Genomic DNA, 16,985 nt, shown 5'->3' with positions numbered 1-16,985 from the left:
AATTAGCCGGGCGAGGTAGCGGGCGCCTGTAGTCCCAGCTACTCAGGAGGCTGAAGTAGGAGAATGGCATGAACCCCGGGGGGCGGAGCCTGCAGTGAGCCGAGATCGCGCCACTGCACTCCAGCCTGGGCGACAGGGAGACTCCGTCTCAAATAAATAAATAAATAAATAAATAAATAAATAAATAAATAAACAATTTCCTAGGCATGGTGGTGCACACCTCCTGCCTCCCCTTCCATCTCTACCTTTTTGCCTCTGCCACCCTTGAGACAGCAACACCAACTCTTCCTCTTCCTCCTCCTCTCAGCCTACTCAACATGAAGATGACGAGGATAAAGACCTTGATGATCCACTTCCACTTAATGAATAGTCAATATATTTTCTCTTCCTTATGATTTTCTTAATAATATTTTCTTTAGCATATTTCATTGCAAGAATACAGTGTATAATATAGACAACATATAAAATATGTGTTAATCAACATTATGTTATAAGGCTTCCAGTCAACAGCTGGCTATTAGTAGTTCAGTTTTTGGAGAATCAAAAGTTATATGTGGATTTTCAACTGCAAAGGGGTTGGCACCCCAACCCCCACATCGTTCAAAGGTCAACTGTACTTGTTCAGTACTACAATGAAAACTATGCAGGGATGTAACTAATAGCAATGATGAGAGGAAAATAAATCAGTAACAATCACTGTAGGAAATTCTTAATTCAGCTTTTATTTTCCATCACATTTATCACATTACTCCTCATATTTAATATATTTCATGAAGGCCATGATTATTATAAGTATTATCTGAGCATACTAGGAATGATGGGTAATTTTTAAATAGTATAGCAAATAAGCATTTCCTAACCATGAATGACTCTCCTTTGTATATGTCACTACTATTACCTGTGTTTCCTGCGTAACATGTTGATGAGATGGCTCTTCAAGCAAGGTCTTTTCTAGTAGCAATTTGGAGTAAGTTTCCTGTAGTCGCCTAGTTGCTGATGGCTCAGAAGGAGGGACATTTTTTACTTTAGTAAAGGCTTCCTTCTGCTTCCGGTAGAGCTCTTGTAATCGTTTGTTTTTCTGTTCTGTAGCCTCCTTTTGAGCCTTCTTCTCTTCATTTTGCTTTCTCTTCCTTTCCTCCTGCTGCCTAACAATGTACTGTCGTACCTCATCTGTGTCATAGTGGCGCCTTTTGGAAATAACAGGGGGATCTTCATTAGCTGTTATTTTGTCAGGTTTTCTTTTTACTGGGCTGTGACTCCTAGGAGCATGTACTGGTGCTGATGACTTCTGGTTCTGTAACTCTACAGTATCTTGCTTTGCAGTGTGAGCTGTAGAATCCAGCTGTAGGTCATCAAGAATGCCACGAATTTCAATAGGTAAAAAGTCCTTATTTAAGGCAGTATTTTCCTCCTGCTTATTATCTGGAAGAGATGAAGCTAGTTTCTTTATATTATTTTCAGACCGAGATTTACTTCTCGAACGTTCTGAGTTTCTTTGAAGATGTCTATGTAAAACGTCCAACCTGGGATCAGATTCTGCTCTTCCAATGTGACCCCCTGCAAAGTATGAACTGTTAGTGATATACCGAAATTCTATACTCATTCCTAAGATTTAACTGCATTAACAAGAAAATTAGAGAATTTCATTTTATCTTACTTAAACTCAAATTCAAATATCTTACAGTCTTCTGAAGAAAATTATAAAAGGAAAGAAAAGCCTCCCTTTTTAGCAGTAAAAGAAGAATCTCAATCTTCTGAAAAACTATATTTCCTTGGTTTGTTTTTAAATACAGTTTGAAATATTTCTGGACAAAAAAGATAGCTCTTATGGTTGTTATGAATATTTAGCATTTCGATTTCTCTCTTATATACATATTTAGTGTTACTATTTCTCTCTCTCCACAACCCCTCAAAAGGCTGTTAAAAAGGTCAACAATCTTTTTAGTGGAAGGCATCCCAATGAGAAGCAAGGAAATGGCAATGCCTTAATAATCATAAAAAATATATTTTTAAAGCTTTGCAAAGACCAGACTGCATATGCCAAATAATAATGGCACTGAAAATATTAGTTTTTCTGAAAATTCTACAACACTGACCCATTTCATAATTACATGAAATGGCACCATGTTCAGGTAAGTTTATCAAAGGATTTCTGAAACTTTATATTTCCTGTTGATATAAGGAAAAGATCAGAATTAGTCTCTCATCTGATCACATTCACATTTTTAAACATCTGTATAACAAATGCTCAAATATTTTTAAAATTTTGTGTATTTTACTCTATTTCCAGAGAAAATGTGCAAAGGTTAGCAAGAAACATATGAAGAATATAATGATTCCTTTTACTAGAATGCTTCTTCTACAGAGCCAGGGATTTGGGTCTATTTTGCTTATTCTGAAGCCCTAGAGATTACAGCAGTGCCTGCTATGTAGTGGGCACTCAGTAAATATTTGTTGAATAAATGTTAAGCCTCTACAACTCTCCAGTGAAGGATGGAAAAACTTAAATATACAGAAAAAAAATAATTTTATCATCAAATTATCTGATAACATGGCTTTAGACTGGGAATACACATGAGCGTATTTACAAGCTAGATAAAAGTGAAGAGGCCCAAATACAAAGTATTGTATATGTACATTGACTTCTATATGCCAAATTATAGTTGCAACTGCATCTTACTGAATCCATTCCAGAAATTCAAATTAAATTGAAACAAATTTGGCTGCTGAAAAGAAAAACTGGCATATGAGTATTTATATTTCACATCCCAAAATTACTGTTCATGAAAAAAGTAGTTATTTGAAATAGCACTCACTCAAGAAACTTTGATAGGAGAAAAACAGTGGACTTGAGGGTCAAACTAAACAGTTCTGCCACCAAATCTGACACCCACTGACTACATAACCCTTGGGAAAAATCACTTCTCTTTCAGAGCCTGTTTCCTAATCTGTCAAATAAAAAAAATCCAACCTTGTGAATGTTTGTCCGTGTTTGCTTGAATATGTTGGGATGAACCAGGTTGGACCTGATTCTCTCTAAGGTCCCTAAAAGTCTAATATGATTTCATTACAATAATGCTTTCATATTCACAATGACAGCTAAATGTAATTAACACAACATAAACAATTTTTCATAAAGATGAACATAACACCTATATGCAGATATTATCCATAACCAAGCCCAATAGAACATTTTTTTCTTTTTTGAGCTACATTCAAAATTATAAAGCAAAGTCCTAACACATTCTTAAGAGTACTTTTTCCTTCTCTAAGTACTTAATAGCAATTTTTAATTGTTTTCTCAACTATTTTAATTATAGCTACTTACCAGATTTAGCAGTTCTTTCTCTTCCACCTCTGTCACTTGATGCTGTTCTTTGCTCTTTTGGCTCCATTCTGGGAGCAGGTCCCAGAATCTTCTTTACTAATTTTTGTCCATCTCGCCAAGAAGATGTACTTATAAGATGACTACTACCTAAAAAAATACATGGCACTGAAATTAAAACTTAAATTTTAATTGTAAGAAGTGTATCTACTCAACCATACAGGTTTTATTATTAATCTTATGTTCATCTGTCAAGGTCAAAAGATTTACAATATAATGATATTTTTAAACCCTAACCTCCCCAAGTCAGTTAACCATTTGTTTATATCTTGATTTACCCACACATCTGAAATAAATGTAAAATGCTTTGAAAGTTAAGTACCAAATAATGATTCCTAAACCTCAAGAACTAAGGCACAAACCAGCCTGGCCAACATGGCAAAACCCTGTCTGTACTAAAAATACAAAAAATTAGCCAGGTGTGTGGAGGGTGCCTATAATCCCAGCTACTAAGGAGGCTGAGACACAAGAATCGCTTGAACCCAGGAAGCAGAGGTTCCAGTGAGCTGAGATCGCACCCCACTGCACTCCAGCCTGGTGACAGAGCAAGACTCCATCTCAAAAAAAGAACTAAGGTAGCAAATTTGACAAAACAAAAATATGTCTTAACATACAACAAGTGTTTGGTTTACCAATATCTAGCACAGTACATGGCACATGATAAAATAATATGTTTGCTTTAAAAAAATGACTTAATCAAAGAACATGTAAAAAATTTGGAGGAAACATATAACAAAGAGTTAACAATGATTACTTTTGAAGGGGATGGTATTACAGGGACTTTCACATAATATTTTACAGATATGTACCAAAAGTACACACTACTTTTCTATGTACAAAACAGTAACATTTAAAAAGTATAATCATTTTAAATGGCCCTCATCATAAAAATTCAAAAAAATGTTTCAATAAATACAGCTGTTTACCAGAAGAAAAAAAGATTTTCATCCACTAGCTTCAGAATGTAACAAATTAAAAATTAAGCAATCATCTCAAAATAGACAGTGACTTAAAAAGAAATGAAAAAAAAAGACTGTTTACAAAATAGAAACTACAAAAAATAAACATAGAATAAAAGTGTTTAAATGCAAAGTAATATAAGAAACAGAGGTCGGGCATGGTGGCTCATGCCTATAATCCCAGCACTTTGAGAGGCTGAGGCAGGAGGAATGCTTGGGGTCAGGAGTTTGAATCCAGCTTGGGAAACATAGCAGGACCCTGTTTCTACAAAGAATTAAGATTAAAAAAAATTAGCTGGGTACAGTGATGCGTGCCTGTAGTCCCAGCTACCCAGGAGGCTGAGGTGGGAGGATCACTTGAACCCAAGAGTTCAAGGATGCAGTCCGCTATGATCATGCCACTGTGCTCCAGCCTGGGACACTGAGTGAGATCCTGTCTCAGAAAAAAAAAAAGAAAGAAAGAAAGAAAAGAAAGGAAGGAAGAAACAGAATGACAATGAAAATAATGTAGTAGCACTTCAAGCCTAATTAAATTATTGTAACATTTTTACATTAATAGTCAATGCTGGTAAAATTATAATAAAATCATTCTGCCTACACATTACTTGCTGAAATATAAGTGGGTATAGTTTCTTTAAAAAAAAAAAAAAAAAAAGCAAACATGGGATTATGTGTCAGGGACCCCAACAGTATTCATGCCCCTTGATCAATGATCCAACAAACAGAAATTTATACAATATAAATAATCTAAAAGAAACAAAAAAATAGATGAAAATGTTGACTGTATCATTTTTATAGTATCGGAAGTAACTAAATACTGAAGAATGGTGAATAGTTACTATTTCTACTAGAATATTGTGTGGCCATTACAAATGACAATTTTCATAAGAAACAACAGAAATGTTCCTGTGAAAAGATGCAAAAACCAATGAAATTTTACATATACAAAAAAATTTAAATAAACAGTGATTACCATAACCTACTATTACAATTTTAAAATGAATGTAAGGAAACATACAAAGTAATACTAGTTCTTTATTTAAGTCTGGATAGTGGTTTTATCTGTTTTCTATTTTCCCAGCTTTCTGTGATGCTATTTTATTGTATTTATAATAAAAGACTTTCCATTTAGAGTTTCTTTAAAAAGGGCTATAATTTATAAGTTTAAACGGAAGTATCATTTTAATAAAAACATCAATTATAAAAAGGTGAGTTTTAATGTGTGCTGTTTACTTTAGAAATGTTTCTGCACCTTGTTATTAACCTTATACAGTTGACCTAAAATATTTAAAGGGTTTTACGTATACTGCTCAATCTATTTATAAGAAACTTGATGTTCTTATGTAAAATGAGAGAACAGGTTTCTCTTCAATTTCAGCCTGATTTTCTGAATCAAAAGCAACCATGAATACACTGGATAGTAATTTATACATGTTGGCATCTGAATATGCTGAGTGGTTATTTCTAAATTCTAACTTTCTGGAACAGTTACACACGGTCATTGGTTAAAAAAAAAGGAATTTCACTACATAAACTATTAATACAGCTTTAGCATATTTAATGACTCTCTATCTAGCTCACTGCCACAGTACATACATGAGAATTAGCCTACCACAAAACTGGATAAATACAATCCAAGATCAGTGTTCATAAGTTTTAGGGGTCCCTGTGCTTCATTTCAAACTATGCTTCTGACAACAGTATTACATAACGCCACATGAAACACAATACTTTTTAAAAATGTAATTATTGCCTGGGTGAGTGGCTCACGCCTATAATCCCAAAACTTTGGGAGGCTAAGGCAGGCGGATCGCTTGAGGCCAGGAGTTCAAGACCATCCTGGCCAACATGGCAAAACCCCATTTCTACTAAAAATACAAAAATTAGCTGGGCGTGGTGGCACATGCCTGTAATCCCAGCTACTCAGGAGGCTGAGGCATGAGAATCACTTGAATCCAGGAGGCGGAGATTACAGTGAGCCAAGATTGTGCCAGTGTACACCAGTGACAGAGCAAGACTCTGTCTCAAAAAATAAAGTAAAATAAAATGTAATTGTTAATGCTCAGATAACTCATGTTTTTGTAACATTTTATTTTTTTATCTGTATATAGCAAGTGTCACTCTATTATGACATCTAAAGTTAACAATGGGTGTCACAAAATGTGTTATCTGCCATTCTACTGATTAGTGTATGACTAGAAAAACAGATGCCTGATCAAAAACCAGTACCCCATCAGTTTTGCCCTGGTGGTCTCATAACATCTTGTGACCTCTTACCGCAGCACTAATCATACTTTATTGTAACAACATATCTACTATTCCCTGACAAGACTATAAGCTCCATGAAGGCAGGGGCTAGATGCATCTTGCTTACCAATGTATTGTCTAAGTTTAGTACAGCACAGTACCTCACATACAGCAAATGTTCAAAATATTAATATTTGTATAATGAATGAATGAATTTAGAATGTCTCCAAATTGAAAGTGACAGGTTCCCAACTTTCTCCATTCTCTTGGCCCAAATTACTTACTGAGAAGAATATGACATTCTAAATAGCCATTTTCAATATAGCCAGAAATAATAATTACTATTATCAGTGGAGTCATAGCTAACAGTTGAGTCTTTATCATGTGCCAGGCATTATAATGAGTGCTTTGGGGTATTAACTCCTAGTTCTCACAACAACCCTGTGGGATAAATACTACTGCTTTCCCATTTTACATATGAGAAAACCAAGGCACACTAAAATTAGCTCATTTACCAAAGGAACAAAGCTAGTTATAAATTTGGGCAATCTGGATGAGGGCCAAAATGTTATGGAACTAGAGAATTATCTTTTTTCCATTCTTGATCTATTCAGACTTCCACCTGACTAATACTGGTTGGAACGCCATAGTTCTGATGTGCAACATTTATTCTCTTTTGAGAATAAGTGAAAGGATTCAGTGACAATCAGAAACAATCCCCTTGTATAGAAAAGTTCACAACATAAAAATTACCTTTAATCTGGTTAACTTATATTAAAAATCATCACAGAAAAAAATTGGAGAGAAGACAGATGTGTTCAGTATGTTGATGAACATATATGGTGAACAAATGGTTTCGTGGATGTATAAAATTATGAAAATGTATCAAACTATACATTCTAAATATGTGCAGTTTATGTCAATTACCCCTTAACACACACACACACACACACACACACACACACACACACACGATACATAAAATGTATTAATTTTTTATATGTGCCAAACAATGAGAACTTTTGGTAACAGTAATATTTAACTTCAAGATGGATTAAAGACTTAAACGTAAGACCTAAAACCATAAAAACCCTAGAAGAAAACCTAGGCAATACCATTCAGGACATAGGCACGGGCAAAGACTTCATGACTAAAACACCAAAAGCATTGGCAACAAAAGCCAAATTTGACAAATAGGATCTAATTAAACTGAAGAGCTTCTGTACAGCAAAAGAAACTATCACCAAAGTGAACAGGCAACCTACAGAATGGGAGAAAAATTTTGCAATCTATCCATCTGACAAAGGGCTAACATCCAGAATCTACAAGGAACTTAAACAAATTTACAAGAAACAAACAACCTCATCAAAAAGTGGGCAAAGTATATGAACAGACACTTCTCAAAAGAACACATTTATGCGGCCAACAAACATGAAAAAAAACCCATCATCACTGGTCATTAGAGAAATGCAAATCAAAACCACAAAGAGATACCATCTCATGCCAGTTAGAATGGTGATCATTAAAAAGTCAGGAAACAACAGATGCTGGAGAGAATGTGGAGAAACAGGAACATCTTTACACTGTTGGTGGGAGTATAAATTAGTTCAACCATTGTGGAAGACAGTGTGGCAATTCCTCAAGAATCTAGAACCAGAAATACCATTTGACTCAGGAATCCCATTATTGGGTATATACCCAAAGGATTGTAAATCATTCTACTATAAAGACACATGCACACATATGTTTATTGCAGCACCACTCACAATAGCAAAGACTTGGAACCAACCCAAATGCCCATCAATGATTGACTGGATTAAGAAAATGTGACACATACATAGCATGGAATACTATGCAGCCATAAAAAAGGATGAGTTCATGTCCTTTGCAGGGAAATGGATGAAGCTGGAAACCATCATTCTCTCAGCAAACTAACACAGGAACAGAAAACCAAACACTGCATGTTCTCACTCATAAGTGGGAGTTGAACAATGAGAACACATGGACACAGGAAGGGGAACATCACACATCGGGGCTTGTTGGGGGCTGGGAGGCAGGAGAGGGATAGCATTAGGAAAAATACCTAATGTAGATGACGGGTTAATGGGTACAGCAAACCACCATGGCACACGTATACCCTGTGTATCAAACCTGCACGTTCTGCACATGTATCCCAAAACTTAAAGTATAATGAAAACATTAATTAAAAACAAAAAAAAAGGATGGACATGTTGAGAAAACTAACCTGTTCTGCATTCTGTACTTGATAACTGTGCTACTTTTTGGACTTTTCGTACTGGCTTGACTACTTTCTTCTCTTTACTTTTTTCAGCAGGTTTCTCCTTTATAGAAATATCATCTGAAAAGCAGAAATATTTACAGCAAATATAACAATGATTTTCATTCCCTCACTTATCCTCCGCCCATAGGAAAAATCTGTATAAAGTATATGCTGCAGGTAGGGAGAAAGAAACCTACACTGAGGCTACTTCTATGGCCCACATAATACCAACATCAACTCCTTTTATGGAAAAAAGGAGTTGGAAAATATATGAAGATTACCACCACTCCAGTATTGGGTTCCAATCCTTTGTTATTTATTTATTCTTCTAAGAAACTCTTGAGAAGTTTACTTAGTTTCACAAATGCTTTCCAAGTCAGGATCATTGCATTTTATAGGATCTCAGAGGTGAGCACTCTCACAGATTCCTATTTCATTTAGAAATTTCTATATAAAAACTTTACGAAATACTCAATATAATATTCTTAAATTAAGGCCTCTTTATGATGATGCTAGTGAAACATGTCAAGGTATTTTATATACACATTATTACTAATTTTTTAAAAATCCAACTTGCAGAAATAAACTGATTACACATGTTAAGCTTAAAAAATTAACTTCAATTACGGATCTGAATGAATGTACTTTAAAATATGTGTAGAGTTCTGCATTCTGGGTAGAGTGGAAATAAGTATAAGTAAAGGCCTTAAAGCAGGACCATACCTAGTATCTAAAAAGAAACCCAGCAAGCAGGTCAGTGTGAGTGGACTGAAAAAAGAGAAGATTAGTAGGAACTACGGTCAGAGACATATAACTAAGGGCTAGATCATGCAGGGCCATCTAGGCCACTGTAAGAATTTCAGGTTTTACTCAAGAATGAGATGGAAGGTTTTGAGAGATTATGAACAAAGGAGCAAAATTAATCTAAATTAATTTTTAGCAAGTTATGACAATAGACTCATTAGAAGAAGAGCAGATAGAGGGAGACCAGTGAGGAGACTACCAGAATAATCCAGATAGGAAACTGATGGTGGCCTCGATCTAGGTGGTGGTAATGGAAGTGGTGAAAGTGATTATATTCTAAGTATATTTCAGACAATATTACATACAAAATATGAGGCGGGGGTGTGATACTCAAGAATGACAAGATTTGGGGGCCTGAACAATTAGAGGGATAGAATTAAATGACATGGAGACACTACCAGAGTAGCAGGTTTAAGGGGTATATCATGACCACATTTATTTAGTTAGTTCCATTTTGGATATATTAAGGTTGAGAAATCTATTATACATCCAAAGGGAGACATGGAAGTAGCAGCTGGATACAAGTGAGTTCAGAGGGGAAGTGTGGGCTAAAGACATTACTTTGGGAATCACTAGCAACAGGGAACATTTAAAGCCCTGAGACTAGACAAATTTGTCCTGTGTGCAGATAGATAAGCTGTAAAAAAAAAGAAAGAAAAATAGAGTGAGTAGAGGGAGGGGGATTGGAGAGAGAGAAAATGAAAGAAAGGGAAGAAAAGGAAGGGGAGAAGGTTAAGAAAAAAAAAAGAAATTTAAAAAAAGAGAGAGAGGGGAAAGAAAGAAAGAAAGAAAGAAAGAAAGAAAGAAAGAAAGAAAGAAAGCAAGCAAGCAAGCAAGCAAGCAAGCAAGCAAGCCAGCCAGCCTGCCTGCCCAAGCTCTGAGGACTGAGGTCAAGGCATCCTGATGATTAGGAAAAAAACAACTGAAAAAGAATAATTAGGTTTAGGAGGAAAACCAGATACTTATAGTATTCTAGATGTCAAGTGAAAATTTCAAAGAAGAAGTGATCAATCATGCTGCTGACAGATCATAACAAATTAGTATTAAATATTGCATTTAGCAATGTGGAAGTCACTGATGATCTTGATAAATAGGGACAAACACCTATAGAAAGGATTTAAGAGAAAGAGAGGAGACAAATTGAAGACAATGAGCATAAGGCAACTTTTTGCAGTTTTGCTGAAAACAAGAAACAAACAGGGCAGCAGCTGGAGAAAAGTAAGGCCAAAAGAGGGGTTCTTTTACAATGACTGATATAACAGCATGTTATCACATAGTATGTTGATGAGCATGACCTGGTAGAGAGGGAAAACTTGATCATGCAAAAGAAAGGCAACAGGGCTGAAGTAACATCCTTAAATACGTCAGAGCAAATGGAATCTAAAACACAAGTAGATGGGTTAGTCTTAGCTAGGAACATCATAGTTCATCTACCGTAACAAGAGAGAAGGCAGAATATCAAAGTCTTTTGACATATTCTACTAGTCTATAATGATACTATCCTATGAGGTATATTGTTATTATCCCTATCTTACAGATGAAAAAACCAATAAAGAGAAGTTATGTAACATAGCTAGTATACTCAACTAATAACTGACAGAGGCAGAACTGGAAGCCTTGAAAGCTGATTCCAAAATCTTGGCTCTTAACTATTACATTATTCTTCCTTTGCACATGAGAAAAAAATTTCTGAATAGAGTGTTGTATAATAATAGCAAGAAAACTGGATCGGACACTTAATGCCACAGAAATGTATTAGTAGAAGCTTTGTGAGGGCTTACTACAAAGACCTCACACTTTAGAATCAGAGTGGGTTTTGAATCTTGGCTTCAATTCTTAATTACTCTATCCAACCCTAGGAAAATGACTCTTTGAGCCTCCATTTCCTCAACTGTAAAAAATAGAAAAGCCCACTCAGCATCTTGCCCAAGCTCATACTATTCGGTAGGTAGTACCATTATTAGTATGACCTTCCTATTACCCTCTCCCAGTCTTCCATGGGTTCCTCCTGTTTCTAATTCCTAACTTATTCCCTTCCTATAATACTTATTTTTCTTTTGGTATCTTGCTCTCATGTAAGTATCTTACCTGCTGCCTGACAAATTACTCACTACTTCAAAGATCTCAGAGGCCTAAGCAGAAGTAAACTTCAACTAAATTCTGCTATGTTTCCTTCAAATCAGGCAGTCCCAACTCTGAAAGTCCCTCAGTTTAAAAATAGCCTAGTTTCTGTCTCATTAACCATGTAAGCTAATTTTAACCCTGGAGCTGAGTCTAGAGGCTAAGAGAGCCTTATGCCTCAAACCACCACAACTTCAGCATGCCATGCAGTTAGAGAAGGAAAATATTGTTAGTTTGGTGACAATTTTATGTGTAAATATTATAAATTAGATAGCATGTATGACAAAATACTCAAAACATAAGAAAGCTCTATTCTCACCTGCAAAGTGAAGTGCTAAATCTCGATACAGTTCTCTACTCATGTTTTGAAACTCAGCCTCCTGCCACACTTTCCCATCAGGTGTTCGAATCTTGGTCTCTGAAGGGTTGAAACCTAATACATACCAGTAACACAGAATATTCTTATCAAAGTTGCTTTATAAGTTTTGTTTGTTATACTTTTTAAAGTGATATATAATCGACATACATAAAATTCACTCTTTTAGTGTTACAATTCAGTGGTTTATAGTATATTCACAAAATTGCACAACTATTGTCATTATCTAATTCCAGAGCATTTAATCACCCTGAAAGAAACCCTGTACCTATTAGCAGTCACTCCTCATATGACCCCCTCCATCCCCTGGCAACTACTAATTCTATCTTTATGGATTTTCCTATTCTGGACCTTTCATATAAGCCAAATCATACAACATGTGTCTTTTGTGTCTTATTTTTATCTCACTTTGCATAATGTTTTCAAGGTTCAACCATCATGTAACATGTATCAGGGCTTTATTCCTTTTTATTGCCAAGTGATAGTCCATTGTATGACTATACCAATACTTTATCCATTCATCAGCTGATAGACATTTGGGTTTTTTCTACTTTTTGGCTATTATTAACAATGCTGCTATGAACATTCTTGTGTAGACATGTTTTAAATTCCCTTGGGTATTATATCTAGAAGTAGAATTCCTGGGTCATACAGTAACTCTATGTTTAACTTATTGAGGAACTACCAAATTTTATTTTATTTATTTTACCTTAGCTATCTTATCTATTTTATTTTATTTCATTTTATTTTATTTTTTGAGATATAGTCTCAATGTGTCACCCAGGCTGGAGTGCAATGGCAAGATCTCAGCTCACTGCAACCTCCACCTCCTGGGTTCAAGCAATTTTCCTGCCTCAGCCTCCCAAGCAGCTGGTGCTACAGGCACACACCACCATTCCTGGATAATTTTTGTATTTTTATTAGAGACGGAGTTTCACCATGTTGGCCAGGTTGGTCTCAAACTCCTGACCTCAAGTGATCCACCCGCCTTGGTCTCCCAAAATGCTGGGATTACAGGCATGAGCCACCGCGCCAAGTCTACCAAACTGTTTTCTAAAGCAGCTGTACCATTTTGCATTCTCACCAGCAATGTATTGGGGTCCTAATTTCTCCACATCCTTGCCAATACTTACTGTATAGCCACCCTAGTGGGTATAAAGTAGTATCTCATTGTGGTTTTGATTCATACTCCCCTAATAACTAATGATACTGAGCAGCTTTTATAAGCTTTTAAAAGAGGAATGTATAATTAGCTACCACATAGTATGTTAACACATACTGTTTAGGAAAAGTAAGCATCAGTGAGATAAAGCAATATACATTCATTCAAAAAGACTAGAAGTGGAGAAGCACTAAATTAAATGATAAAAGAATACCGATCATAAATCATGAATTTCAAAGAGATGAACTACCCTTCTCCAGATTTAGGGAGAGACAATATTATTTATTCTTCTTGTCTTTGAAGACAGGCATTATAATTGCTACCATCTATCTGTTTTTGCTTATGACTGAACAAATGGGCAAGCTGCCGTTTATACGGACAAATTGTGTCCAAAGTGTGGAAAACAGGTCTTTCAAACATACTTTTTCAATTTCTCAAGAAACCTTACACATATGGGATTTCCTAGGAATTACCATTTGATTTTCCACTTCAAATTTATCCCTACTCTTTGGCCGGGCACGGTGGCTTATACCTGGAATCCCAGCACTTTGGGAGGCTGAGGCGAGTGGATCACTTGAGGCCAAGAGTTTGAGACCAGCCTGGCCAACATGGCGAAACCCCATCTCTACCAAAAATACAAAAATTAGCCAGGCATGGTGGTGCATGCCTGTAATCCCAGCTACTCTTTAGGCTGAGGCACGAGAATCACTTGAACCCAGGAGGTGGAGGTTGCAGTGAGCTGAGATTATGCCACTGCACTCCAGCCTGGGCGACAGACTGAGACTCTGTCTCAAAAAATAAAATAAAATAAATTATCACTATTCTTTAAGAAATACACTGAACTTTGTTTTGTCAAAAACAACAAAATAATGAATAAAGATGATAACCAAAGTAGTATAAAGATTTGTATCTTAAGATGGGCTCAACTTATCAAAGAATTAGCAACCCATACATAACTGCACAATTAAATCAATGTAAAGAATAGGCTGGAGTAAAAAACTGGTAGTAGTACTTTGTAAGTATAAGAGAAAATATACTGGTAAATTAATTACATGTCTAATAGTAAATAATCTATTCAGTTATTAGGCACAATAGCCTCAGTTTAATTTCACCCGACATTTGTGGCAAGGAACACACCATTACATCTATATCTATATAAGGGAAAAAATTTATAAACATAGTGTTCAGTTTTGCAAAATATAGTTTGCCATTAAAAAAGTGTGGTGATTCTGCCTGGCTGCCTGAGGACTGACTGCCATCATGAATGACACAATAACTATTTGTACTAGGAAGTTCATGACCAATCAACTACCTCAGGGAGCACAAACAGTCGTAGATGTCCTTCACCCTGGAAAGGGAACAGTACCAAAGACAGAAACTTGGGGAAAACTAGCCCAAATGTACAAAGCCACACCAATGTCATCTTTGTATTTGGATTCAGAACCCATTTTGCTGGTGACAAGATAAATGGCTTCAGCATGATTTCTGATTCCTTGGATTATGCAATGAAAAATGAGACCAAACACAGACTTTCAAGACATGGCCTGTATGAGAGAAAAAAAGACCCCAAGGAAACAGCAAAAGGAACACAAGAACAGAATGAAGAAAGTCAGAGGGACTGCAAAGGCTAAAAACAGGAGTAAAGATTCTGCAATGACTTTATCTGTGATAACTGCAGATTTTTCATGAGGATTAATAAACTGTAAAAACTTTCAAAAAAAAAAAAAAGGAAGTGTGGCAGTTCTATGCAAACGTATTTCTGTCTTTCTCAACTTTTCACCATCACCTAATCCCACCGCTCAACATTTAACCCTCTTTTTCTCCTCTCCTCTTTAGGAAACATTTATCCCTATGAGAGTCTTTCTTTGCATTTGCATCTTATATGTTAACTTTAAGAAGATTTCACTATCTACATCAGTTTCTCTTTCTGTCCCCAAGTCTTTATTTCCATTTCTTTGTCCACTTTTTTTCTTACTGGTTAAATTTATTAAATAGAATAAAAAACTTACTGTGCACTTACTTATGTCCATGACACTGTACTAGGTTCTGAGATAAAATAAGGGTGACCAAGATAGGCTCTTTATCTTCATGGGCATTTATACCAGGAAGAAAAAAATATGCAAACAACCAAATATAGTACAAGAAAGAATCATATAAACACCATTTGTGTTCACCATTTCAAATTTTTAAAGCAGAACCATAGAGCACTTCTTAGGTTTCTTTTTAAAAATAAAAAATCAAGGTGCAAAATGAGTTTAGTATGCTAATAACTGTATAAAAAGAGGAAGAAAATAAATAAATACACAGACACACAATACACACATACTCCTATTTGCTTATGTTTGCAAAAGTTATTTCTGGAAGGATATACAAATTGTTAACACAAGTAACCTCCAGAAAGGGGGCCAAGCACAAGAGTGACAGAACTTTTCAAGGTATACTCATCTTTTGGACTGCGAACAAAATGAATTTATTATGTCTTTAAACAAACAAACTTAAAATGTCACTTTAGAATACAGTATTTTAAGATGCTTTTAATTTATACTACCAAAAAGTTGGCAGAAAAACAGTTTTTCATTGTTGGAAAAAAAAATCCACTGCTTAGGACATCGGAAGCCATATTCTATAATGAGTTCTCAAATGTTTGCTACCTTTTTCAAAGTAACCCCTCCAAAAGTCATATTTATAAAATATTTTAATATAAAAACTAGCACATTAAAAAAATAGTAAAAGGATTATGGGAAATCCAGTCATCAACTCAAAGAAAGTTATATCTAAGATTTTCACTCTCATTCTGTAAAATTGTTTTTAACTTTTAGGTTTTTATAAATTATTACAAAATATGAATTCAAATGGAACATTTTAACTTTTTCTTAGTGGAATAATCATTGGTATTTCAGAACTTTGACTTGTACAAAGAACAAAACTTAAATATGTAATCTATACTTAATGGGTCTGTACTTAATTACAGCAAAGATTTCGGGTAATCACTATCTTGGAACCAACAAAGAATATTTTGACCTCGCCATTTGCTATGTGCTGTGCCAATAGTATGGATGTGATACACGAATGACTAGAAAAAATTAGAGAATTGTGTTGTTATTAATAAAAAATATTATTAATTATAATATTGGACAATGGCAATTCTTCAGTATTCTAAAGTGAATTGATCACAATTTCTCACAAATTAGCTAGAATGAAATGCAAATTATCCAATTTTATCTAATTCACAATGAAGATCACTAGCAAAAACATAGTAAACAATACAAAAAACTAATAATTGGCGAAAACTGTATGCAGTAGATGTGTTTTAGAGAAAAATGACTAAAGATGCCTTAGGACTATAAGAAACTGCAAAACTTGTTAGAGAAAAATTAGAGTTGACACAGAAATACAAAACAAAACTGATTACAATAAAAAAGTGCCCTAGATTGTTAGTTACTTAAAATTAATAGAAGAAACAGGCTGGGTGTGGTGATTCACGCCTGTAATCCCAGCACTTTGGGAGGCTGAGGCAAGCAGATCATCAGAGATCAAGAGTTCAAGACCAGCCTGGCCAACATGTTGAAATCCTGTCTCTACTAAAAATACAAAAATTAGCTGGGCATGGTGGTGGGTGCCTGTAATCCCAGCTACTCGGGAGGCTGAGG

The 16,985-nt window shown here is 35.3% G+C and overlaps 1 protein-coding gene and 1 pseudogene across 27 annotated transcripts in view; one reads left to right on the top strand and one right to left on the bottom strand.

The window, feature by feature from the left end:
• CEP350 (centrosomal protein 350) overlaps positions 1 to 16,985 on the bottom strand; it is a 160,066-nt gene that overhangs the window by 99,472 nt on the left and 43,609 nt on the right. For all 27 annotated transcript variants that reach the window (NM_014810.5, XM_047435442.1, XM_047435459.1 and 24 more), the window contains 4 exons: positions 12,117 to 12,230; positions 8,837 to 8,950; positions 3,329 to 3,475; positions 899 to 1,557 (listed from right to left, as the gene is read on the bottom strand). In NM_014810.5, coding sequence (NP_055625.4) covers positions 899 to 1,557; positions 3,329 to 3,475; positions 8,837 to 8,950; positions 12,117 to 12,230 — 1,034 coding nt within the window. The remainder of the gene's footprint in view (positions 1 to 898; positions 1,558 to 3,328; positions 3,476 to 8,836; positions 8,951 to 12,116; positions 12,231 to 16,985) is intronic.
• Positions 14,565 to 14,966, top strand: RPS24P5 (ribosomal protein S24 pseudogene 5; annotated as a pseudogene).

This window comes from Homo sapiens, chromosome 1 (assembly GCF_000001405.40).
Source record: "Homo sapiens chromosome 1, GRCh38.p14 Primary Assembly".
Lineage (NCBI taxonomy): Eukaryota > Metazoa > Chordata > Mammalia > Primates > Hominidae > Homo > Homo sapiens.
This window is presented reverse-complemented; position numbering and strand designations above follow the sequence as displayed.